Below are 24,051 nucleotides of genomic sequence, written 5' to 3'. Positions count from 1 at the left end.
AATAAAAATACAAAATTATTAGCCAGGCGAGGTGGCGGGTGCCTGTTATCCCAGCTACTTAGGAGGCTGCAGCAGGAGAATCGCTTGAACAACCAGGGAGGCAGAGGTTGCAGTGAGCTGAGATCGTGCCACTGCACTCCAGCTTGGGTGACAGAGTGAGACCCTGTCTCAAAAAAATTAAAAGAAAAAATAAAAAACATCCAAAAACTAGCGGGGCATGGTGGTGGGCACCTGTAATTCTAACTACTCAGGAGGCTGAGGCACGAGAATCACTTGAACCTGGGAGGTGGAGGTTGCAGTGAGCCAAGATCATGCCACTGCACTCCAGCCTGAGCGACAGAGTGACACTCTGTCTCAAAAAAAGAAATGTAAATGCAAACTGCTGGCTACCTGACAATTGGGCCAGGTGCTGGGTTTAGTCCCCAGGGAGCTGGCTGTGAAAAACTCAACAACATGCTTTAGGTCTTGGCAGTATCATCAAGCGCTCTCATTTGCTGCGTACTCACTAGAAGTCAGGTCTCGGGCTAGGTGTATTGAATTCTTGCAATAGCTGCAGCATGGCTCCAACAGCATCAGAGAGGTGAAGTGACCTGTCCGAGCTACACCACTAGTTAGTACTCAGACCAGGATTTCTCCAAGACTGAAGACACAATTGCCCTGCTTCCCAGAATTCTTGGCTCTCCTAACTCACATCAATTAAAATCAAGATCTTTTTTTTGTTTTGTTTTGAGACAGGGTCTTGCTCTGTTGCCCAGGTTGGACTGCAGTAAAGTGATTGCTGCCCACCACAGCCTCAACCTCCCAGGCCCAAGCCATCCTTCCCTGAGTAGCTGGGACTAAAGGTGTGCGCCACCATACCTGGCTAATTTTTAATTTTTTTTTTTTTTTTTTTTTTGAGACGGAGTCTTGATCTGTCGCACAGGCTGGAGTGCAGTGGCGCAATCTCGGCTCACTGCAAGCTCCGCCTCCCGGGTTCACGCCATTCTCCTGCCTCAGCCTCCCGAGTAGCTGGGACTACAGGTGCCCGCCACCAGGCCGGCTAATTTTTTGTATTTTTAGTAGAGACGGAGTTTCACCGTGTTAGCCAGGATGGTCTCGATCTCCTGACCTCGTGATCTGCCTGCCTCGGCCTCCCAAAGTGCTGAGATTACAGGCATGAGTCACCGTGCCCGGCCAATTTTTAAATTTTTTGTAGAGATGGGGTCTCCCTGTGTTGCCCAAGCTGGTCTCAAACTACTAGGATCAAGAGACCCTCCTGCCTCAGCCTCCCAAAGCGTTGGGATTACAGGCCTGAGCCACAGCACCCAGCCTCATTGAAGTTTTTAGGAGTAACCACCCGTGTCCACACTTCCAAACCCTGGCACCAACCTCTTCCTCCTCTGTGCTCCCAGGAAAGGGGGGTGCTGCCCTTATCACATGACACTAGGTTTACCTTCTAGAACCTTAGAGCAGAGTATACATTTCCCAAAGACCAGGTGTCTCCCAAGGTAGGAAAAAATCTCCCTAGCATGAAGGAAGCTGGCAAAATTGTTTCAGGCTGTCCTTGGGGAATTATGGTTTTCTTTCTTTTTTCTTTTTTTTTTTGAGACTGAGTCTTGCTCTGTCACCCAGGCTGGAGTGCAATGGCGTGATCTCAGCTCACTGCAACCTCTGCCTCCTGGGTTCCAGCAATTCTCCTGCCTCAGCCTCCCAAATAGCTGGGATTACAGGCGTGTGCCACCACACCTAGCTGATTTTTGTAATTTTAGTATAGACTGGGTTTCACCATGTTGGCCAGGCTGGTCTCGAACTCCTGACCTCAAGTGATCCGCCTGCTTCGGGCTCCCAAAGTGTTGGGATTACAGGCGTGAGCCACCTGCCTGGCCGAATTATGGTTTTTCAATGGGGGTCCAAAGTCCCTGGACTCAGCTTCCTAGAGAATGTCATGGATGGCATCAGAGAGCAACCAGAGGCCTTCAGGGTCCAGCCCTGTCCTCTCAAGGTCATTTTGGAAGGCGGAGTACGTCACTGGGGAGAGAAATCTTACATTGAACAGAACCAGTGTGCCTCTTTTTATAACCACAAAATATGAAACAGTCAGCTAAGTTAGGAAAGAATCCAAAGAGATTGTGCTGACAGTGCAAGCTGGACGGGAATCCCAGCCTAGGATGCCACGGAGAAGCACAGATGGTGTTGTTCAGCCCCGAAATAGTCTTTTCTTTTCTTTTTGGAGACGGAGTCTCACTCTGTTGCCCAGGCTGGAATGCAATGGCGCGATCTCAGCTCACTGCAACCTCTGCCTCCCGGGTTCAAGCGATTCTCCTGCCTCAGCCTCCTGAGTAGCTGGGATTACAGGCACATGCCACCATGCCTGGCTAATTTTGTTTTTTTTGTTTTTTTTTTTTGAGATGGAGTCTTACTCTGTTGCCCAGGCTGGAGTGCAATGGTGAGATCTCAGCTCACTGCAACCTCCACCTCCCGGGTTCAAGCGATTCTCTTGCCTCAGCCTCCCAGGTAGCTGGGATTACAGGTGCCCACCACCACGCCCGGCTAATTTTTGTACTTTCAATAGAGATGGGGTTTCACCATGTTGGCCAGGCTGGTCTCAAACTCCCGACCTCAGGTGATCCACCTGCCTTGGCCTCCCAAAGTGTTAGGATTACAGGCGTGAGCCACTGCACCCGGCCTTTTTTTTTTTCTTAGCCGGGGTCTCATTCTGTTGCCCAAGCTGGAGTGCAATGACGTGATCTCGGCTCACTGCAACCTCCGCCTCCCAGGTTCAAGCGATTCTGCTGCCTCAGCCTCCAGAGTAGCTGGGACTACACGCACACGCCACCATGCCCAGCTAATTTTTGTATTTTTAGTAGAGACAGGGTTTCACCATGTTGGCCAGGCTGGTCTCAAACTCCTGACCTCAAGTGATCTGCCCACCTCAGCCTCCCAAAGTGCTGGGATTACAGGCGTGAGCCACCTTGCCTGGCCGTAACACTCCACTTTTTAATGGGAGGACAAAGATTTTTGAGCCATCTTGAAAAACCACCTCACCTGGATTGTCTCTGAATCCTGACATCAGCCCCCCAACATGAAGCTGACACCAAAACCAGTACTGCCTGCCCAGCTGCAAGTCTTCAGAGAAAGGGAGGCAGTTCCTCAAGAAAACCCTGGGGAATACTTGAGCCAACCCCCAGGAAAGTACCCAAAAGTGAAGGCCTAACATGGTGACTGGCCAGGCACGGTGGCTCTCACCTGTAATCCCACCACTTTGGAGGCCGAGGCGGGTGGATCATCTGAGGTCAGAAGTTCGAAACCAGCCTGGCCAACAAGGTGAAACCCCATCTCTACAAAAAATACAAAAATTAGCTGGGCATAGTGGTAGGCGCCTGTAATCCCAGCTACTCAGAAGGCTGAGGCATGAGGGTCACTTGAACCTGGGAGGTGGAGGTTGCAGTGAGCTGAGATGGCGCCACTGCACTCCAGCCTGGGCAACAGAGCGAGACTGCATCTCAGAAAAAAAAAAAATGGTGCCTAACGTTGACTTTGCTGGATCTCTCTAATATCTTAATGAGGCCATCTGTTCAATGGATACTTACTAAGCACTTGCTTTGCTATGAGGTTAACAGGGTTCTGGGCCTTAATACAGCAACCAAAAGGACCTTACGAGATTACAGCTTGCAATTCATTTAGACAAGGTATGGGTATAAGAAGTTCACATGAGTCACAGCACCCAGGGCCACCCAGACCAGGGGCCTCTAATCCAGGGGTGTCCACTCTTTTGGCTTCTCTGGGCCACATTGGAAGAAGAATTGTCTTAGGAGACATATAAAATTCACTAACATTAACGATAGCTGATGAGCTAAAAGAAAAAAAAATCGCAAAAGAATCTCATAATGTTTTAAGAAAGTTTATGAATTTGTGTTGGGCTGCATTCAAAGTCATCCTGGGCCACATGCAGGCTGCAGGTTGGACAAATTTGCTCTATACCATGAATTCCCCCATGTTTCCCAGAAACTTCTGGGTTTTCCGTACTGCTAATAACTTCACACACTGCAGCCCCTGGTAACAGGGGCTTCCTAAGGACAACTGCTCCCTCAGTCTGGCAGCACCAAGGACAAGGACCACTCCCCTTTGCCTAAGTACCTTGAGAGGAAGACAGGCCAAGGTCCCTCCGCGGTACCATTCTGCACATGTTCCACAGTCCTCCCGCCACCTCCCTGTCACCCATCCCTGGAACCTAGCTGTACTTTGAAAATATAGCAACTGGAGAAATAAAAAGGAAAAACATGGCCGGGCGCAGTGGCCCACGCCTATAATCCCAGCACTTTGGTAGGCCGAGGCGGGTGGATTACCTGAGGTTGGGAGCTCAAGACCAGCCTGGCCAACACATCAAAACCCCAACTCTACTAAAAATATAAAAAAATTAGTTGGGCGTGGTGGTGGCCACCTGTAATCCCAGTTACTTGGGAGGCTGAGGCAGGAGAATCCCTTGAACCTGGGAGGCAGAGGTTGCAGTGAGCTGAGACCGCACCACTGCACTCCAGCCTGGGTTACAGTGCGAGACCCTGTCTCTAATAAATAAATAAAATAGTTTAAACAACTAAATCAATAACCAAAAAGACTTAAAGAAGCAGCCAAGGAGGGCAGGGGCTCGGGGGTGGCAGGAAAATGGGACAGAATCTCTCGCGATCAGGGACACAGAGGGGCGGACGGTGGCAGGGGTGAGTGGGAGGCAGGAGGAAGAGAGACAGAGCCGTGAGCAGGAGAGACGGGTGACCCATTACCATCACCTCAAACACACCACGACCAAACAGGAAGGCTTCCGGCACGAGGCTTTTTATTCTAACAGCACTGGGGGGCCCAGCCTACCTGCCAGACAGTTCCCAGGAGTGAGGCTGGTCTTTCCTGGCAGATAAGACACAGTTTTGTTGGGTGAATGAGCGGCTCCTCCCTTGGTCCAGGAAGAGCTCCCCCTGCATTGGGTGATGAAATTCTGTCTTTCTGAAGGCCGGGCAGTGCACAGCGGCCCTTCCTCTCTGGGAATGCCCAGGCTCACACAGTCCACTTCAGACACCTGCAGACAGAGGGGAAGCCAGGATGAGGGGAGAGAGGTCTGGGGAGGCTGTGGGAAGGAGGGAGTGGGAGTGGACAGCAGGTCTCATGCTCACCTGGTCTCCTGGTGGGTCCCCAGACAGCGCACAGTGCAGTACCGGGCACCGCAGCTGACACAGGTGTAGGGGGATGGGAAGCCACAGACAGCACAGAAGGGGCGCTGGGGCCGCGATGGGGGTCCCGCACAGGCCGTCAGGTAGTTAGGGCCCTCGGCCACACTCAAGTTCTGCAGAGACAAGGGGCCGGCTCTAGAACTCCTCCGCCCACCCACGCAGCGAACACCTGCCCGGGCCAGGCTCACCCCTTCCCTGTGGGGTCCTCCCAGGCCGACCCTCCTCTCACCTGCTCCTCCAACAGGGCCTGAAAGTTTTTTCGGAAGCGAAGTTTAAAATGATCACCTCGGGTTTTCTTCTTTTTCTTTCCTAGGGGTCAAGGGTGATCCGTTGCTTGGCACTTGCCCAGAAAGACAGCAGCTTTCTCTGGTTCATCACTCCCCATGCCCATGTGCCCTCCTGGTTCTTTTTGAGACAGTCTCACTCTGTCACCCAGGCTGGAGTGCAGTGGTGCGATCTTGACTCACTGCAACCTCCATCTCCTGGGTTCAAGTGATTTTCTTGCCTTGGCCTCCTGAGTAGCTGGGATTACAGGTGTCCACCACCATGCCTGGCTAATTTTGTTTTTGTATTTTTAGTAGAGATGGGGTTTCACCATGTTGGCCAGGCTGGTCTTGAACTCCTGACCTCAAGTGATCCGCCCACCTCAGCCTCCCAAATGCTGGGATTACAGGCGTGAGCCACCACACCTGGCCCTGCCCTCCTGGCTCTAAGTCGGCCCCTCGCTACCAGCCTCTGCCCTCCACCCCAATTCTCCAATCCCAGCTGACAGTCACCTCCATGCCCCCAAGCCTAAGGCTTCGTGTCAGAGCTTATCCAGTCTCTCTTGTTTATTTCACATACACGAGAGGAAACTGAGGCACAGAAAGGGGGTGTGGTTGCTCACAGCCATGGGAGCCAGTCACTGGCAGAGGCACCAGGAGCTCCTGGGTCCTCCCACAGCCTGAGTTGGGCGGACTCTCCCGCCCTCCTCTCAGTCCCATCCCCCGCTTCCTCCTCCATCCGCCTCACCAGTGTCCGCATCGTCATCAAACTGAGGCAGTCTCTTGCCGAGCTGAGGGAGTCCCGCGTGGGGGTCATCCTGGAAGTTGTCATTCTCCAGGGCCTCCAGCTGCCGGTTGATGCGACGCTGCCGGGCAGCCCGGTCCAGCACCCGCCGCTGCCCGGGGTCCTGGGAGCGAACTGGATGGAGCAGGGCACGCAAAGTTACAGGGCTTCCAAGAAAGAGCAGTGTGGCCGCCGCTCTGGGCAGGGCGAGGAAGGCACCCGGGGTGGAAGCTGCAGCTCTCTGATCTCATCCCCATTGCCAAGCCCTTGGTCCCCTTGTCTCCTCCCGGGCCAAGCCCTGGGCCCACACTTCCTGTCCCGCCAGCTGAGACCCTTTCAGTTTCTCCTGCCTGTTTTCTCCGCCTTCCTCTCAATCCCAGTCCCAGCCAGTGAGCCCCGGCCTGGAGACAGCTCACTGCTGACTGGGGAGGTCACAGCGCCCTGGGGCTTCCAGGCTGTCCTGGGCCCTCAATACACATGGCCCTCACACTCAGCATCTCACCTCCTACCTCAAAGGAACCAGGGGCCACCCATGCTTGGATACGCTCATCTTCCAGGCCACCTACCCACAAACGTGATGCCAAGTGGGCACACCCCTGCCCTGGAGCGCCCCAAGTCCCACCACTGACCCCGAGCCTTCACCTCCAGCCCATTCCCTCCCTCTCCCATCTTCAACCCCTCCTCCTCAACCGGCACTTTCCATCAAAGAGCTGGCGACGCTCATGTGTCTACTCGGCTTCACAGCTCCTTCTCCTTCACAGCAACTCACGTGATGTGTCACTTTTTCACCTCCCATCCTCTCCTTGAACCCCAAAATCTGACACCTGCCTGGTCATCCTGGGGGACCACCCACCCACGCTCTGGGCCCCAGAGCGGCTCCAGTGTGCCTTCCTCCTCCTCCTTGGACCTGAGCCCTGTCCACCCTGTGGCGGTGCCGACTACCTTCATCGAGTAGAAAGAGACCCTTTGCTTGCTTCCTTGACAAAACTGCAGGCCTTCTCCATGTCCAGGAATCCTCCGGCTCCAGCTCGGCTGCTCTCCCTGCCTCTATGGAGGTGGCTGGCCCTCTTCTCTGCTCAGTCTATGCACTCTTCCTGGGATTTTGACTCCAAACAAAGGGCTCTGATGATCACCCACAAGCAAATGACTCCCAGAGTGACTCCCTCAACACAGAACCTGCTCCCGGGCTCCAGAACTGGCCATGCAGCCAGCGCCTGGTGAGGCCGGGTGTGGTGGCGCACGCCTGTAATCTCAGCACTTTGGGAGGCCAAAGGATCGCTTGATGCCAGGAGTTAGAAACCAGCCTGGGCAGCATAGCCAAACCCCATCTCTACAAAAAATTAAAAAATAAGCCAGGCGTGGTTGCACATGCCTGTAGTCCCAGTTACTTGGGAGGCTGCGGTGGGAGGACTACATGGGCCCGGGAGGTTGAGGCTGCAGTGTGCAGCAAGCCGTGATCGCGCCACCACTCCAGCCTGAGTGACAAAGCAAGACTGTCTCCAAAAAAAAAAAAAAAGAAAGAAGGAAAAAAGAAATCACCCACTGGCCCTGTGGACACTGCAACTCAAAAAAAAAAAAAAATTCCCATCCAAGTCTGCTTCTCCTGCAGATTCTCTCTACGCAAATGGAACCGTCTATGCAGACATCCAAACCAGAAACCTAGAAGTTATTTTAAACCTCTTTCCTCGGCTGGACATAGTGGCTCACCCCTGCAATCCCAGCACTTTGGGAGGCTGAGGTGGGCTCATCACTTCAGGTCAGGAGTTCGAGACCAGCCTGACCAACGTGGTGAAACCATGTCTCTACTAAAAATACAAAAATTAGCAGGGTGTGGTGGCACATGCCTGTAATCCCAGCTACGCGGGAGGCTGAGGCACAAGAATCGCTTGAACCCGGGAGGTGGAGGTTGCAGCGAGCTGAGATCGCGCCATTGCATTCCAGCCTGGGCAACAGAGAGAGACCCTGTCTCAAAAACAAAAAACAAAAAACCTCTTTCCTCATTGCCTTATCAGCTGTTTGCCAGATTCTGATAATTTTGCATAATATATCTCTTTATTCATTAACCACCTGTTAAGCATAATAATAACAGCAGCAGCCCCAGTAGCTATCACTTGTTGGACACTTACTATGAGCCAGGCACGTGCTCAGCTCTTTGCAACACTTGAACCATTTAACCCTTACAACAGCTGTATGGGACAGTATCATCATCCCCAATTTACCAACATTCAGAGATTAAGAAATGTGTCCAAAGTTCACATAGCTAACAAGTGGCCAGGTCAGGAGTCAAAGAACTACCCAGCATCAAAAAGCATGACCTTGCCAGGCGCAGTGGCTCATGCCTGTTATCTCAGCACTTTGGGAGGCCAAGGTGGGTGGATTGTTTGAGCGCGGGAGTTCGAGGCCAGCCTGGGCAACATGGCAAAACCATGTTTCTACAAAAAAAATACAAAAATTAGCCAGGTGTAGTGGGACACACCTGTAGTCCCAGCTATTCAGGAGGCTGAGGCGCAAGGATTGCTTGAGCCCAGGAGCTCAAGGCTGCAGTGAGCTGTGTTTGTGCCACTGCACTCCAGCCTGGGTGACAGAGCAAGACCCTGTTTCAAAAAAAAAAAAAAAAAAAAAAAAACCCAAAACCAACCAAACAAAAAAAAATATGATTATGATCACTGTACTACTCTGTCTCCCCTCCAAATGCCAGGCAGTGCTCTAGGTTTTAGGGATGCCAAAGCTTACAGTCCAGTGGCAAACACAAATGATTAATGAAACAAACACAGTAAGTACAGCATGGAGTAGGCTAGGATACGGAAGTATAAAGTGCTGCAGAGCCCAGGACAGAAACACCCAACCTGGCCTTGGAGTAGTCAGGGAAGACTTCCCAGAAGAAGGTAAGTCTAGGTTAAGGCCTAACTGGTGAATGACCTGGCTAGGGGAGACAGCGGGGTATTTCAGACCTTGAGGCCAACATGAAAAAACTGATGGCTGGGAGACTGCGATGCCTTTGAAAAACTGAGAGGGCCAAGCGCAGTGGCTCATGCCTGTAATTCTAGCATTTTGGGGGGCCGAGGCGGGTGGATCACGAGGTCAGGAGATCAAGACCATCCTGGCTAACATGGTGAAACCCTGTCTCTACTAAAAATACAAAAGATAAGCTGGGTGTGGTGGCGGGCGCCTGTAGTCCCAGCTACTCCAGAAGCTGAGGCCAGAGAATGGTGTGAACCCGGGAGGCAGAGCTTGCAGTGAACCGAGATTGCGCCACTGCACTCCAGCCTGGGGGACAGAGCAAGACTCCGTCTCAAAAAGAAAAAAAAAGAAAGAAAGAAAAACTAAAAGGGCCAAGCGCAGTGGCTCATACTTGTAATCCTAGCATTTTGGAAGGCCGAGGCAGGAGGATCACATGAGCTCAGGAGTTCAAGACCAGCCTGGGCAACATAGTGAGACACCCATCTCAACAAAAAATATAAAAACTAGCCCAGCATGGTGGCCTGCACCCACCTGTAGTTCCACCTACTCAGGTGGCTGAGGTGGAAGAATCACTTGAGCATGGGAGGTTGAGGCTGCAGTGAGTTATATAGAACCACTGCATTCCAGCCTGGGTGACAGAGCAAGACTCTGTCTAAAAAAAAAAAGTCTTTGCTGGCTCTCCAGTGTTTCCCTACAGAGTTCAAACTCCTGGGCAGTGTGTATAATGCCTTTCAAAATGTAACCTTTCCCCAGCCTTCGATCCTTTCTTATTACTCTGTAAGATCCAAACTGTGAACTTGGCTTCCTAAGCGACTTGCTTTTTCTTGCTTCACTGCCTTTGCACGTGAGGTTCCCACTGAGAGAAACCCTAACTAGACTTTCAAGACTCAATTCAAGCTTTTTCATTTTTCCTTCAAGCTTTCACAGTCCCCTGCCTCCCAGAACCTGGGCTAGATGCCACGTCTCCCTGTTCCCAGGCGCTGTGCTTCCCTCTGCCATAGCACAAATCACAAATCACAGTAAAATACAGTGTTAGGTCTGCGTTTCTGCCCCCCTTCCAGAAAAAGCCAATGCTTGGATAAGAGGGGTCTTTCTCCTCTTCATCCCCAGCGCCCGGCTTGGAGCAGGCACCAATAAAACGTGAATGAAGGGTCAACGCCAGGACCCGAGGGCTGAGGAAGGGATTTACGAGGAATAGCTGGGGCCGGGCGCGGCAGCTCACGCCTGTAATCCCAGCACTTTGGAAGGCCCACGCAGGAGGATCGCTTTGAGGCCAAGAGTTGGAGACCAACCTGGGCAACATAGCGAGAGCCCGTCACCACATAACAAATTAAAAATTAACCAGGCGTGGGGCCTCATGCTTGCAGTTCCAGCCACTCCGGAGGCTGAGGTGGGAGGATGGTTTGATCCCAGGAAATCGAGGCTGCAGTGAGCTATGACTATGCCACTGCACTCCAGCCTAGGCGAAAGAGCGAGACCAAAAAAGAGGAATGACTAGGTAAGAAAATTCTAGGACTGACTTGGGAAGGGGAAGGGGGCGAACCGCGGGGGCTCACATACCCGAAGTTTTCTTCTCCACCATTGGCACAACACAACTGTCGGAAGAAACTGCTGCGCACGCGTACTAACCCCAAGGCTTTAGTAGGGGCGCCATCACTTCCGGTAGCTTGTACTTCTGCGCGTGCGCCACAGCTTTGACTCATTACGTGGCGTTTCCTTGGAGACAAGAAAGCTTTTCGCCATGTTTTATAGGGGCAAAACCACTTCCGGCCTCAGTGTGGAGGTGTAAATCTTGTGGGAGCCACGAAATGGGTCATTTTAAAGATGTGGTCACGGTGTTCTTACAAGAAATCTTATTTTCCTTTGGTCCTTGTGAAGATGCTGTGATCACAAAGGCAGCCCCTGGAGCTTCTCCGGGCAGAAGAGGAGGTGGGCTGGACTGTCAAAGAAAGTGGCTGGCTTCCGTGGGCAATCCGAGGTTCCTAGTGGCCCTCTGCAGAAAGCTGAACTCCCAGTTCCCCCAGGCCTCCGTCCCGCGGCGGACTCCTAGGCTTCCTCCCTCCCTGTCGCCGCCAGCCTCTCGCTCTCCCCGTCTTCCGCCCGCACTCTCTGGGCAGGGCTGCGGCCAGGACCCGCCCCCGCGTCCCGCCCGACCCTCCGCCAGGGGTCACTTCCCCTGTCCAGGTTTCAGCTTCCACATGTGTCAAGCGGCTGGCTCAGCCCAGAGTCCCTGTCTCCCGCCCGCCGGCCCGAGCCGCCGCCCCTCCCCCGCCTCCCGTGCGCCCGGGACAATCCTCGCCTTGTCTGTGGCGCCGGCATCTGGAGCTTTCTGTAGCCTCCGGATACGCCTTTTTTTCAGGGCGTAGCCCCAGCCAAGCTGCTCCCCGCGGCGGCCGCACAGCAGCCCGAGCGCCCCCTTTCCAGAGCTCCCCTCCGGAGCTGGGATCCAGGCGCGTAGCGGAGATCCCAGGATCCTGGGTGCTGTCTGGGCCCGCTCCCCACCATGACCTCCTCGGGGCCTGGACCCCGGTTCCTGCTGCTGCTGCCGCTGCTGCTGCCCCCTGCGGCCTCAGCCTCCGACCGGCCCCGGGGCCGAGACCCGGTCAACCCAGGTGAGATCCCGGGGAGGCCCGGCACGGCCGAGGGGGCAGAGGCTGGCGTGCCTGCCAGCCTGGCCCGGAGAGGGTCGGAGGCTCGAGGAGGTGTCTGGCCCGTCCCCCGCCCAGCGTGCTCTTGAGGCTGAGTCGCGCCAAGCCCCTCGCCCATCACTACCCTGAACTGGGGTTTCCAGCCTCCCTATGCAAAGGGACTCGGAATTCCTGGGCACCACTCCCACCCTGCCCTCCTTGGGGTCAGAGTGTTCCTGGGTGAGAAGAGTTTAAGAATGGGAAGGAAGAAAGGGAGGGAAGTCGAGTGAGAGGGAGGACAGCAAAGCACGTGAGGCCCGGAGCTGGGCGGTGGATCTCAAGTGCCATTTCCCTCTGGTAACAGAGAAGCTGCTGGTGATCACTGTGGCCACAGCTGAAACCGAGGGGTACCTGCGTTTCCTGCGCTCTGCGGAGTTCTTCAACTACACTGTGCGGGTGAGGAGAGGGAAAGGCCCCTGGGAGGGGGTCCCAGCAGGAGGGGTGGGCTGAAGTCTGGATGCCCAGGTCCCCACGGTAAGCCTGGTCAGGAGTTCCCCCCACAACTCCCCACCCCTTGCCTGGCACGGGGCAATCTTCTCCACAGACCCTGGGCCTGGGAGAGGAGTGGCGAGGGGGTGATGTGGCTCGAACAGTTGGTGGAGGACAGAAGGTCCGGTGGTTAAAGAAGGAAATGGAGAAATACGCTGACCGGGAGGATATGATCATCATGTTTGTGGATAGGTAACGGGGCTGGGGATAGGGAGCGGGGTAAGGATGCTGAGGTTCCCAGTGGACCCCTGCCCATCCTCCCCTTCCTCACCCAGCTACGACGTGATTCTGGCCGGCAGCCCCACAGAGCTGCTGAAGAAGTTCGTCCAGAGTGGCAGCCGCCTGCTCTTCTCTGCAGAGAGCTTCTGCTGGCCCGAGTGGGGGCTGGCGGAGCAGTACCCTGAGGTGGGCACGGGGAAGCGCTTCCTCAATTCTGGTGGTGAGTGGCAGAGTGCCCAAGGCAGAGGGGCCAAGAGCGGTGGGACACAGAGTGTTAAAGGCGCCTGAGGGCTGGAGACAGCCTGGGGGACAGGCCCTGGGACCCTGGGAGTCTCGAGGTCAACACTCCCCCTCCCCGCCAGGATTCATCGGTTTTGCCACCACCATCCACCAAATCGTGCGCCAGTGGAAGTACAAGGATGATGACGACGACCAGCTGTTCTACACACGGCTCTACCTGGACCCAGGACTGAGGGTAGGGAAGGCAGAGGAGTGGGCGCATCCCGCAGCTCTGTGGGAGTGGAGGCCTCAGGCTGAATGGGATTTGGGGAGCAAAGGGGGTTGCAAAGAGAAAAATGTGTGCCTGGGCGTGGTGGCTCACGCCTGTCATCCAAGACTTTTGGGAGGCTTAGGCAGGAGGATTGCTTGAGTCCAGGAATTTAAGACCAGCCTGGACAACATAGTTGAGACCTCATCTCTACAAAAAAAAAGAAAGAAAAAATTAGCCAGGCTTCATGGTGTACGCCTGTAATCCCAGCTACTTGGGAGGCTGAGGTGGGACCATCACTTGAGCCCAGGAGTTTGAGGATGTTTTGCACCACTGCATTCCAGCCTGGGTGACAGAATGAGACTCTGTCTCTCACAAAAAAAGGAAAACCATGGTGGCTCATGCCTATAATCCCAGCACTTTGGGAGGCTGAGGCGGGTGGATCACCTGAGATTGGGAGTTTGAGACCAGCCTGGCCAACATGGTGAAACCCCGTCTCTACTAAAAATACAAAAATTAGCCAGGCGTGGTGACACTCTCCTGTAGTCCCAGTTACTTGGAAGGCTGAAGCAAGAGAATCAATTAAACCGGGAGGCAGAGGTTGCAGTGAGCTGAGATCGTGCCATTGCACTCCAGCCTAAGCAACAAAAGCAAGAGAAGAAAAAAAGAGAGAGAAAAGTGAGAAATGATGTCCTTTCCACTCCTTCCATTTTAACCACTCCATCGCATCTCATTCCATTTAGGAGAAACTCAGCCTTAATCTGGATCATAAGTCTCGGATCTTTCAGAACCTCAACGGGGCTTTAGGTGAGGAGGAAGACAGCCGCAGGTGGGCGATGCGCAGCCTCTGCAGCTAGGGGTCTTGAGCTGGGAGAGGCTTCTGGAGGAGCTGGGCTGATCCAAGCCCACCTCTATGTGGTTTTGTCAGGCGTCTGAGTGGCTGGTTGTGTAAGTTGCACTGTGCTGATGGTACTACCAGAAGCAAGGGAAGCAAAAACGTGTCTGGCATCTGTTGCACACATGCTGTGCCTGGGCACCGGGCCAGGGACTTTTTTTTTTGAGACAGAGTTTCGCTCTGTTGCCCGGGCCGGAGTGCAGTGGTCCAATCTTGGCTCACTGCAGCCTCCACCTCCCGGGTTCAAGTGATTCTTCTGCCTCAGCCTCCCGAGTAGCTGGGATTACAGGCATGCGCCACCACGCCCAGCTCATTTTGTATTTTTAGTAGAGACAGGGTTTCACCATGGTGGCCAGGCTAGTCTCGAACTCCCAACCTCAGGTGATCCGCCTGCCTCAACCTCCCAAAGTGCTGGGATTACAGGCATGAGCCACTGTGCCCGGTCTACTTCTGTGATTCCATTTAACAAAGGGAAGGTCCCTGGTTATCCTTCTTGTACAGATGAGGAAAACAGCTTGTGGAGGGGTTGGTGACTTGCCTCAGGGGATGGGGAGAACGGGGAGAGAGAGAGGCCAGGCACGGTGCCTCACGCCTGTAATCCCAACATTTTGGGAGGCCCAGGCAGGAGGATCACTTGAGGTCAGGAGTTTGAGACCAGCCTGGCCAACATGGCGAAAACCCGTCTCTACTAAAAAAAAGTACAAAAATGAGCTGGGCGTGGTGGCGGGTGCCTGTAATCCCAGCTATTCAGAAGGCTGAGGCAGGAGAATCACTGGAACCCGGGAGGCAGAGCTTGCAGTGAGCCGAGATTGCGCCACTGCACTCCTGCCTGGGTGACAGAGTGAGATTCCTTCTCAAAAAAAAAAAAGGCCAGGTGCGACAGCTCACATCTGTAATCCCAGCACTTTGGAAGGCTGAGGCGGGCAGATCATGAAGTCAGAAGTTTGAGACCAGCCTGGCTGACATAGTGAAACCCAGTCTCTACTAAATATACAAAAATTAGGCTGGGTGTGGTGGCTCATGCTTGTAATCCTAGCACTTTGGGAGGCCGAGGCAGGTGGATCACCTGAGGTCAGGAGTTCAAGGCCAGCCTGGTCGACATGGTGAAACCCTGTCTCTACTAAAAACACAAAAATTAGCCGGGCATGGTGGTGCGCGCCTGTAATCCTGGCTACCCGGGAGGCTGAGGAAGGAGAATCGCTTGAACCCTGGAGGTGGAAGTTGCAATGAGCCAAGATCGTGCCACTGCACTCCAGCCTGCGTGTTGGGAGTGAGACTCCATCTCAGCATAAAAAACAAAAAATACAAATACAAAAATTAGCCAGGTGTAGTGGCATGTGCCCATAGTCTCAGCTACCTGAAAGGCTGAGGCAAGAGAATCTTTTGAACTCAGGAGGCAGAGGTTGCAGTGAGCCGAGACCACGCCATTGCACTCCAGCCTGGGTGACAGAGTGAGACTCCATCTCAAAAAATAAAAATAAAAAAAAAAAAAAACAAGGAGAGAGAGAATATGAGGAGGGGTAGGGATGCTGAGGCTCCTACTGGCCTCCCGCTCAGCTCACCCTCCCCTTCCTCGCCCAGCTGCGGTGTGATCACGCAGGTAGTAGGCAGTGGAGCTCTCTGGGCCAGCAGCCTGGTCAGAACCCAAAGGTTCCTGCCCACAACGAGCCACACTCCAGGATAGCCCTGGTGTCCCTTTATTCCCTGGAGAATTTGGGACCCCATATTTAGAAGAATGTGTTGCTTGGTAGCTCCCAGAGAAAGGGGGTCTGAAGCCTGGCCTTTTTCTTCCCCAGATGAAGTGGTTTTAAAGTTTGATCGGAACCGTGTGCGTATCCGGAACGTGGCCTACGACACGCTCCCCATTGTGGTCCATGGAAACGGTCCCACTAAGGTGCCACCAGTGGTCTCAACCCCCGCCCCGCCCTGCCCCAACCCCCAGGCACCTCCAACCCTTCTGAGAAGCTGGCCCTTCCCAGCCCCCATATCAGAGGTGCCTGACCCCCACCTCCACCCCTGGAGGCCTCAGCCACTCAGCCTCAGTCTGTCCCCAACAGCTGCAGCTCAACTACCTGGGAAACTACGTCCCCAATGGCTGGACTCCTGAGGGAGGCTGTGGCTTCTGCAACCAGGACCGGAGGACACTCCCGGGGGGGCAGGTGAGGTGGGGGTGCCAGGGAGGGGCACGAGAGGGCAGCGTGCTGAGCAGGAGGTACAAGGACAGCGGACTGGGGGGCGGTGGGGGCATCGCTCCTGGGTCCCTGCACCTGTCAGGGTGGAGGTTGGGTGGGGGCAGCAGGGAAGTCCGGGCTTCTCTCTGAGTCCCTGCGTGTTGCATCTTCCAGCCTCCCCCCCGGGTGTTTCTGGCCGTGTTTGTGGAACAGCCTACTCCGTTTCTGCCCCGCTTCCTGCAGCGGCTGCTACTCCTGGACTATCCCCCCGACAGGGTCACCCTTTTCCTGCACAACAACGTGAGACTCCCCTGTTGGAGCCTCTCCTGAGGGACCCTTTCCCTGCCCTGATCAGAACTCTCGTGCCCCCACCCCCATCTCCTTCCTGCACCCCCATCCCTCAGGTGCCGCCTCCCTGCCCTCTGAGCCCATCCCCCTATGTCTTCCCCTCCCAGGAGGTCTTCCATGAACCCCACATCGCTGACTCCTGGCCGCAGCTCCAGGACCACTTCTCAGCTGTGAAGCTCGTGGGGCCGGAGGAGGCTCTGAGCCCAGGCGAGGCCAGGGACATGGCCATGTGAGCGGGTGCTTGCGGGGAGGAGAGGGTGGGATGAGGCTGTAGGGTCAGGGGTGCTGCCACCTGCTGCCTGGCCCTTGCCTCACCTGTCACCCATCCAGCCCCTCCTGGGCCTCCCCATTCGCATCCTTGCAGCCCCCATGCTGTCACTCCTGCCCTTGCCAGCTCACCCAGACAGCAGAGAGCCTGGGGAAGGAAGGATAGACACTGCCTCCCTCCTCTTCTCCTGGGGGCATGGGCCAGTTACCCCATCCACACCGCCTCCCCACCTGCCGCCGTCTCAGCTCGCCTCTCACCTCCAGGGACCTGTGTCGGCAGGACCCCGAGTGTGAGTTCTACTTCAGCCTGGACGCCGACGCTGTCCTCACCAACCTGCAGACCCTGCGTATCCTCATTGAGGAGAACAGGTGGCTTACCCCCTCTCCCCGCAGCCGGAGGGCACCCCAACAGGCCCCGGGAACCCCACTCCTGCCCTGGGCACCGGGCTCCCCAGGCCTGCTCCCGTCTGCCCAGCCCTCACCCCCACCTGTCCGCAGGAAGGTGATCGCCCCCATGCTGTCCCGCCACGGCAAGCTGTGGTCCAACTTCTGGGGCGCCCTGAGCCCCGATGAGTACTACGCCCGCTCCGAGGACTACGTGGAGCTGGTGCAGCGGAAGCGAGTGTGAGTCCCGCCAGCCTGCAGCCCCCCGCCTCCTCCGACCCGGGGCCCAGGTAGACCCAAGCCCCCTACTCTCAGGGGTTTGGAGTGGTCACCAGTCAGAGGTGCCATGAGGCTGGCTGCAGTGGCTCACACTTTTGATGCCACCACTTTGGGAGGCTGAGGTAGGAGGACTGCTTGAGCCTGGGAGTTTAAGATCAGCCTGAGCAACGTAGCAAGAGCCTATCTCTACAAAAAACTTAAAATATTAGCTGGGCACGGTGGTGCGTGCCTGTGGTCCCAGCTACTACGGAGGCTGAGGTGGGAGAATCACTTGAACTTGGGAGGTTGAGGCTGCAGTGAGCCATGTTTCCACCACTGCACTCCAGCCTGGAAACAGAGGGAGACCCTTTCTCAAGAAAATAAAAAACAAGGGCCGGCCGCGGTGGCTGACGCCTGTAATCCCAGCACTTTGGAAGGCAGAGGCAGGTGGATTACTCGAGGTCAGGAGTTCGAGACCAGCCTGGCCAACATGGTGAAACCCCATCTCTACCAAAAATACAAAAATCAGCCGGGCATGGTGGCTGGCACCTCTAATCCCAGCTATTTGGGAGGCTAAGGTGGGAGAATTGCTTGAACCTGGGAGGTGGAGGTTGCAGTGAGCCAAGATCACACCACTGCATTCCAGCCTGGGTGACAGAGCAAGACTCCGTCTCAAAAACCAAAAACAAGAAACAAAAAAGAAGTGCCACAGCTTGGGGTAGGAACTGACCGCATTTTGGGAGGTGGGGTGGTTGGGACCAGCAGTGCTTGACAAGGGACATGCAGGGGCCTTATGTTCAGGGACTGGGATACCCTGAGGGAAGAAGGACTTCCCGGGATGAGCTGGGCAGAATTTGGGGGGCTGTCCTCCCAGCTGACCGCGGTGTCGGTGCCTCCAGGGGTGTGTGGAATGTACCATACATCTCCCAGGCCTATGTGATCCGGGGTGATACCCTGCGGATGGAGCTGCCCCAGAGGGATGTGTTCTCGGGCAGTGACACAGACCCGGACATGGCCTTCTGTAAGAGCTTTCGAGACAAGGTGAGCGCGGGTGCACGGTCTGGCCTGGGGGCAGTCCCCCAGACTCCAGGCATCGCCTGCATCACGGACACCCCCACCCCACTACAGGGCATCTTCCTCCATCTGAGCAATCAGCATGAATTTGGCCGGCTCCTGGCCACTTCCAGATACGACACGGAGCACCTGCACCCCGACCTCTGGCAGATCTTCGACAACCCCGTCGTGAGTGGGGACCCCACGCCCAGAGCACACAGGTTCCCCGCCTTGTGCTAAGGAAGACACCAAACGTGATGGCTGCTGCCAGCGCAGGACACTGAGTGGGAGGGGGCGGTCCCCTGGGGGCTGGGAGCGAGGGGGGCACAGATCTGATGTGCCCCCCACCCTCTCACAGGACTGGAAGGAGCAGTACATCCACGAGAACTACAGCCGGGCCCTGGAAGGGGAAGGAATCGTGGAGCAGGTGAGCCCACGCAGCCTCCCCACCCACCCCCTGCCCTCATGGCCATCGCCTCTTGGGGGCCCCCGCCTGGATTCAAAGTTTTCACACTGAGTTCCCCAGAGATCTGAGGGTTTTCTGTTCAGACAAGATGAAGGCAGAGGCCGAACAGAAAGGACTCTTGCCCCCAAAGCCAGCATTGATCAGACAGCCTCTTCTCCTGTATATTGGGTATACTGGTGTTATGCTTGAAATCACATCTTAAAAGAAGAATGGGGCTGGGCTCAGTGGCTCATGCCTGTAATCCCAGCACTTTGGGAGGCCAAGGTGGGTGGATCGGTTGAGGCCAGAAGTCCAAGACCAGCCTGGGCAACATAGCGAGAATCTGTCTCTACAACAACAACAAAAAAATTAAATAAGAAATGAGGCCAGGAGTGGTGCTCATGCTTGTAATCCCAGTACATTGAGAGGCCGAGGCAGGCAGATCACCTGAGGTCAGGAGTTCGAGACCAGCCTGGCCAACATGGCAAATCCTGTCTCTACCAAAAAAAAAAAAAAAAAAAACACAAAAATTAGTCAGGTGTGATGGCGTGCACCTGTAGTCCCAGCTACTCGGGAGGCTGAGGTGGGAGAATCGCTTGAACCTGGGAGGCAGAGGTTGCAGTGAGCCAAGATCACGCCACTGCACTCCACCTTGGGTGACACAGCGAGACCCTGTCTCAAAAAAAAAAGAAAAGAAAAAATTAGCTTGGCATGGTGGCATGTGCCTGTAGTTCCAGCTACTTGGGAGTCTGAGGCGGGAGGATCGCTTGAGCCCAGAAGGTCGAGGCTGTAGTGAGCTATGATTGTGCCACTGCACTCCAGCCTGGTTGACAGAGCAATACCCTATCTCAAAAAAAAAAAAAAGAGGTATGCACTGTTACGGAAGTTTGGAAACCACTGTCCCAGCACGAGGGGCTCCAGGACCCTCTGCCACCTCTCCTGTGCCAGAAACCGGTCCTCAGCCTTGCCACTCCCTCAGCCCCTACCTGGCGGGTCCCCGGCTGCTCTCACAAAGCCTTCCCTGCTCCTCCCTGCCCCTTCCCATTCTGCCTGCTGCCTGTCCCCTTCCCCGTTCTGCGGCGTCAGCTAGCCCTGTTCTCCCTCGCCCCATCCTCAGCCATGCCCGGACGTGTACTGGTTCCCACTGCTGTCAGAACAAATGTGTGATGAGCTGGTGGCAGAGATGGAGCACTACGGCCAGTGGTCAGGCGGCCGGCATGAGGTAAGGGCCTGGGCGAGGAGGGCAGAGGCCTTCCCAGAGGAGGAGGTGCAGGATCTGGTAAACAAACAATGGAATCAGGAAAATGGGAGCAAAGAGGGGTTCCCAGGGGGGAGGCAGACCCTGGGGTCACAACTGCATTCATTCATGTATTCAAGAAATATTTACTGCTGGGCACAGTGGCTCATGCCTGTAATCCTAGCACTTTGGGAGGCTGAGGCGGGAGGATTGCTCGAGCAGGGGGAGTTTGAGGCCAGCCTGGGCAACATAGCGAGACCCTGTCTCTACAAAAAATTTAAAAATTAGCCGAGTTTGGGCCAGGTGCGGTGGCTCACGCCTGTAATCCCAGCACTTTGGGAGGCCGAGGCAGGTGGATCACCTGGGGTCAGGAGTTCGAGACCAGCCTGACCAACATGGAGAAACCCCATCTCTACTAAAAACACAAAATTAGCCGGGCATGGTGGCGGGCGCCTGTAGTCCCAGCTACTCGGGAGCTGAGGTAGAATTGCTTGAACCCGGGAGGCAGAGGTTGCAGTGAGCCAAGATTGAACTCCAGGCTGGGCAACAAGAGTGAAACTCCATCTCAGAAAAACCAACAAATTAGCCGGGCATGGTGGCATGTCCCAGCTATTCAGGAGGCTGAGGCAGAAGGATCACTTGAGCCCCAGAGTTAGAGGCTGCAGTGAGCTATGATCATGCCGCAGTACTCCAGCCTGGGTGACAGAGCAAGACTCTGTCTCTAAAAAAAGAGAAAAGGAAATCATTCCTGGGCCACTGTCCTAGACTGCACTGCAGGAATGCCTCATGCCGGTCGAGCTCTGCCCTGCTGTGAGCAGCAGCCACCACACAGCTTCTAAGGCTGCGATGAGCAGCCTGGGTGCAATAGAAGCCACGGGGAAGCCTTGACCCAGACTTGGGAGGAGTAGGGAGCTTCACAGGACAGGTGACATCTTAGCTGAGACTTGAAGGGCCGGGAGCAGTGAGTCAGGCCGAGAAGTAGCAAAGAAGACTGTTCTGCACAGAGGAACACAGGTGTGAAGGCTGGAGGACGGGAGGAAGGAGGCTGGACTGCCCTGGGGTGGGGAGCGCCATGGCTGGAGGGGCGGGTGGCTCAGTGCCCGCCGCCCCCAGGATTCAAGGCTGGCTGGAGGCTACGAGAATGTGCCCACCGTGGACATCCACATGAAGCAGGTGGGGTACGAGGACCAGTGGCTGCAGCTGCTGCGGACGTATGTGGGCCCCATGACCGAGAGCCTGTTTCCCGGTTACCACACCAAGGTGCGCTGCCCACCTGCCAGCTGCCTCCCCACCTTCCCCACCCCAGTCCCGGACAGGAAGTCTCCACGCAGACCCCTTTCGGCCCCGGCAGCATTTGGGCTCCATGCATTTTAGTTCCCAGGGGAATGAGACGCTGCAGGAGGCACCCCAGGGGAGGGAGGGCGCCAGGCTGAGACCCAAGGTGAGGCTTGGCCCTAATTTAATGCCAGTGAGCAGCGAGAGCCTCCTACGCAGGGGTCCCGCCGCCCCTCCCCTCCCCTCCCTGGACAGGGACCGTCATCTCCCTGAAGACACCCTGCGATGGCCGGGCGTGGTGGCTCACACATGTAATCCCAGCACTTTGCGAGGCTGAGGTGGGTGGATCACCTGAGGTCAGGAGTTCAAGACCAGCCTGGCCAAGATGGTGAAACCTCGTCTCTACTAAAAATACAAAAATTAGCCGGGTGTGGTGGCAGGTGCCTATAATCCCAGCTACTCGGGAGGCTGAGGCATGAGAATTGCTTGAAACCGGGAGGCAGAGGTTGCAGTGAGCCAAGATCGAGCCAAGATCGCACCACTGCACTCCAGCCTGAGTGACAGAGCGAGACTATCTCAAAAGAATAATAATAATACAAAATAAAAGACCCCCTGCGCCCGCAGCTGTCCCTGCAGCCTCTTCCCTCCTCTCCCCCAGGCGCGGGCGGTGATGAACTTTGTGGTTCGCTACCGGCCAGACGAGCAGCCGTCTCTGCGGCCACACCACGACTCATCCACCTTCACCCTCAACGTTGCCCTCAACCACAAGGGCCTGGACTATGAGGTGCGCCCCAGTCACACTACCCACCCACGCTTCACCTCAGGACCCTCGGGTCCCCACCTAGAGCCCCTGCGTGCATCCCCCAGCTCCCCTCCCTGCCCATTTCCCAGTGACTTTGTGGGTATCAGCTCCTGGATCGCTTCTGGGCAGGCGGCCTCTGCTTCCTCCTGGATCTTCCTGTCTGCAGGCACCCCAGCCTCCGGTGTCTGCCATATCTGCCATCTCCCTTGTCACCCCGGTCTGCTGCACCGTGCCCCCCGGTCTGGCCGCCCTGCCCCGTGTATCTGCCTGCTCCCCAGGCCCCACGTCTGCTCACTCCATGTTTCCTTTCCCTTCTCTTTCCAGGGAGGTGGCTGCCGCTTCCTGCGCTACGACTGTGTGATCTCCTCCCCGAGGAAGGGCTGGGCACTCCTGCACCCCGGCCGCCTCACCCACTACCACGAGGGGCTGCCAACGACCTGGGGCACACGCTACATCATGGTGTCCTTTGTCGACCCCTGACACTCAACCACTCTGCCAAACCTGCCCTGCCATTGTGCCTTTTTAGGGGGCCTGGCCCCCGTCCTGGGAGTTGGGGGATGGGTCTCTCTGTCTCCCCACTTCCTGAGTTCATGTTCCGCGTGCCTGAACTGAATATGTCACCTTGCTCCCAAGACACGGCCCTCTCAGGAAGCTCCCGGAGTCCCCGCCTCTCTCCTCCGCCCACAGGGGTTCGTGGGCACAGGGCTTCTGGGGACTCCCCGCGTGATAAATTATTAATGTTCCGCAGTCTCACTCTGAATAAAGGACAGTTTGTAAGTCTTGAGTCCATTGGTCTGCCCATTAACCCCATCTCCCCTCCTGCCAGCAGCGTAGAGGGGAGAGACCCAGAAAAGCGAAGACAAGAGGAAAAGGGAGAGGCAGAATGTTAGACCCTCGTGGGAACCTGGGAGCTTCCCTGGCTCCCACTTTCCCCTTCCCCTGTATTGCCTGAGCTGGAGACAGTGTGTGAGAGGGGCCGGGCGCGGTGGCTCACGCCTGTAATCCCAACACTTTGGGAGGCCAAGGGGGGCGGATCACGAGGTCAGGAGATCCAGACCATCCTGGCTAACACGGTGAAACCCCGTCTCTACTAAAAATACAAAAAATTATCCAGGCGTGGTGGCGGGCATCTGTAGTCCCAGCTAATCAGGAGGCTGAGGCAGGAGAATGACATGAACCCGGGAGGCAGAGCTTGCAGTGAGCTGAGATTGTGCCCCGGCACTCCAGCCTGGGCCACAGAGTGAGACTCCATCTCAAAAAAAAAAAAAGTGCATGAGAGGGCACAGACCAAAAGAGGGACTTCCCAGGCTGGGCACAGTGGCTCACACCTATAATCCCAGTACTTTCAGAGGCCAAGGCAGGCGGAGGATCACTGGAGGCCAGGAGTTCAAGACCAGCCTGGACAACATAGCGAGACCCCCCCCATCTCTACAAAAAATAAATTAGCTGGGCGCGATGGCTCACGCCTGTAATTCCAGCACTTTGGGAGGCTGAGGTGGATGGATCACCTGAAGTTGGGAGTTTGAGACCACCCTGGCCAACATGGTGAAACCCTGTCTCTACTTAAAAAATACATAATTAAGCTGGGCACGGTGGCCCATGCCTGTAATCCCAGCACTTTGGGAGGCTGAGGCGGACAGATCACGAGGTGAGGAGTTCAAGACCAGCCAGGCCAAAATGGTGAAACCGCATCTCTACTAAAAAATACAAAAATTAGCTGGGCATGGTGGCGGGCGCCTGTAATCCCGGCTACTTGGGAGGCTGAGGCAGGATAATTGCTTGAACCTGGGAGGGGGAGGTTGCAGTGAGCTGAGATCGCGCCATCACA

General features: G+C 55.6%; 2 protein-coding genes across 3 annotated transcripts, besides 8 other annotated features; one reads left to right on the top strand and one right to left on the bottom strand.

Moving 5' to 3' along the window:
* Window positions 1,755-1,931: a silencer, noted in NCBI's record as "fragment chr7:100870334-100870510 (GRCh37/hg19 assembly coordinates)". NCBI's record gives its function as "represses an EF-1alpha promoter that drives an FKBP-Casp9 reporter gene in an ReSE screen in HepG2 liver carcinoma cells {active_cell/tissue: HepG2}" and the evidence as "EXISTENCE:reporter gene assay evidence [ECO:0000049][PMID:32094911]".
* ZNHIT1 (zinc finger HIT-type containing 1) lies at window positions 4,794-10,819 on the bottom strand. 2 transcript variants are annotated; one of them, XM_011515739.3, is made up of 5 exons: window positions 10,499-10,819; window positions 6,210-6,380; window positions 5,428-5,507; window positions 5,142-5,311; window positions 4,794-5,047 (listed from the first exon to the last, which is right to left on the bottom strand). In XM_011515739.3, the coding sequence occupies exons 1-5, from the start codon at window positions 10,563-10,565 to the stop codon at window positions 5,026-5,028; spliced, it is 510 nt and encodes a 169-aa protein (XP_011514041.1). In that variant the 5' UTR covers window positions 10,566-10,819; the 3' UTR covers window positions 4,794-5,025. The 2 variants fall into 2 exon arrangements, with proteins under 2 accessions (XP_011514041.1, NP_006340.1); NM_006349.3 differs by having other exon boundaries at window positions 10,767-10,819.
* Window positions 10,472-11,013: an enhancer, noted in NCBI's record as "H3K27ac-H3K4me1 hESC enhancer chr7:100861252-100861793 (GRCh37/hg19 assembly coordinates)". NCBI's record gives its function as "activates a minimal SCP1, AML or CMV promoter by ChIP-STARR-seq in primed H9 embryonic stem cells {active_cell/tissue: H9 hESC(primed)}" and the evidence as "EXISTENCE:reporter gene assay evidence [ECO:0000049][PMID:30033119]".
* Window positions 11,107-11,226: an enhancer, noted in NCBI's record as "active region_26401". NCBI's record gives its function as "activates an Ori minimal core promoter by ATAC-STARR-seq in GM12878 lymphoblastoid cells {active_cell/tissue: GM12878}" and the evidence as "EXISTENCE:reporter gene assay evidence [ECO:0000049][PMID:35858748]".
* Window positions 11,327-11,606: a silencer, noted in NCBI's record as "silent region_18481". NCBI's record gives its function as "represses an Ori minimal core promoter by ATAC-STARR-seq in GM12878 lymphoblastoid cells {active_cell/tissue: GM12878}" and the evidence as "EXISTENCE:reporter gene assay evidence [ECO:0000049][PMID:35858748]".
* PLOD3 (procollagen-lysine,2-oxoglutarate 5-dioxygenase 3) lies at window positions 11,403-23,000 on the top strand. The gene is made up of 19 exons (NM_001084.5): window positions 11,403-11,818; window positions 12,198-12,289; window positions 12,438-12,574; window positions 12,658-12,821; window positions 12,964-13,076; window positions 13,832-13,895; window positions 15,780-15,877; window positions 16,041-16,142; window positions 16,329-16,454; window positions 16,610-16,731; window positions 17,034-17,138; window positions 17,268-17,393; window positions 18,311-18,452; window positions 18,540-18,653; window positions 18,823-18,891; window positions 20,027-20,131; window positions 21,260-21,406; window positions 22,080-22,205; window positions 22,548-23,000. Exons 1-19 carry the CDS (start codon window positions 11,710-11,712, stop codon window positions 22,701-22,703), a joined length of 2,217 nt encoding a protein of 738 aa, NP_001075.1. The 5' UTR covers window positions 11,403-11,709; the 3' UTR covers window positions 22,704-23,000.
* Window positions 11,747-11,796: a silencer, noted in NCBI's record as "silent region_18480". NCBI's record gives its function as "represses an Ori minimal core promoter by ATAC-STARR-seq in GM12878 lymphoblastoid cells {active_cell/tissue: GM12878}" and the evidence as "EXISTENCE:reporter gene assay evidence [ECO:0000049][PMID:35858748]".
* Window positions 11,747-12,297: a biological region, named in NCBI's record as "H3K27ac-H3K4me1 hESC enhancer GRCh37_chr7:100859968-100860490".
* Window positions 11,775-12,297: an enhancer, noted in NCBI's record as "H3K27ac-H3K4me1 hESC enhancer chr7:100859968-100860490 (GRCh37/hg19 assembly coordinates)". NCBI's record gives its function as "activates a minimal SCP1, AML or CMV promoter by ChIP-STARR-seq in naive H9 embryonic stem cells {active_cell/tissue: H9 hESC(naive)}" and the evidence as "EXISTENCE:reporter gene assay evidence [ECO:0000049][PMID:30033119]".
* Window positions 11,857-11,976: a silencer, noted in NCBI's record as "silent region_18479". NCBI's record gives its function as "represses an Ori minimal core promoter by ATAC-STARR-seq in GM12878 lymphoblastoid cells {active_cell/tissue: GM12878}" and the evidence as "EXISTENCE:reporter gene assay evidence [ECO:0000049][PMID:35858748]".

This window comes from Homo sapiens, chromosome 7 (genome assembly GCF_000001405.40).
Source record: "Homo sapiens chromosome 7, GRCh38.p14 Primary Assembly".
Lineage (NCBI taxonomy): Eukaryota > Metazoa > Chordata > Mammalia > Primates > Hominidae > Homo > Homo sapiens.
The sequence above is the reverse complement of the archived record's forward strand: the minus strand, read 5'-3'. Positions and strand labels throughout refer to the sequence as shown.

Bases quoted from the DNA above. Each gene is read 5' to 3' on its own strand.
- ZNHIT1 (XM_011515739.3), bottom strand. From the start codon at position 10,565: ATGAGGCCCCACGCCTGGTTAATTTTTAATTTGTTATGTGGTGACGGG. The intron at 5,508-6,209 runs GTGAGGCGGATG...CTTGACCCCTAG, and splicing joins TGATGACGATGCGGACACTG to GAAAGAAAAAGAAGAAAACC. The intron at 5,312-5,427 runs GTGAGAGGAGGG...TTGTCTCTGCAG, and splicing joins AGGCCCTGTTGGAGGAGCAG to AACTTGAGTGTGGCCGAGGG.
- PLOD3 (NM_001084.5), top strand. From the start codon at position 11,710: ATGACCTCCTCGGGGCCTGGACCCCGGTTCCTGCTGCTGCTGCCGCTG. The intron at 15,878-16,040 runs GTGCCACCAGTG...TGTCCCCAACAG, and splicing joins ATGGAAACGGTCCCACTAAG to CTGCAGCTCAACTACCTGGG. The intron at 18,892-20,026 runs GTGAGCCCACGC...CCCCATCCTCAG, and splicing joins GGGAAGGAATCGTGGAGCAG to CCATGCCCGGACGTGTACTG.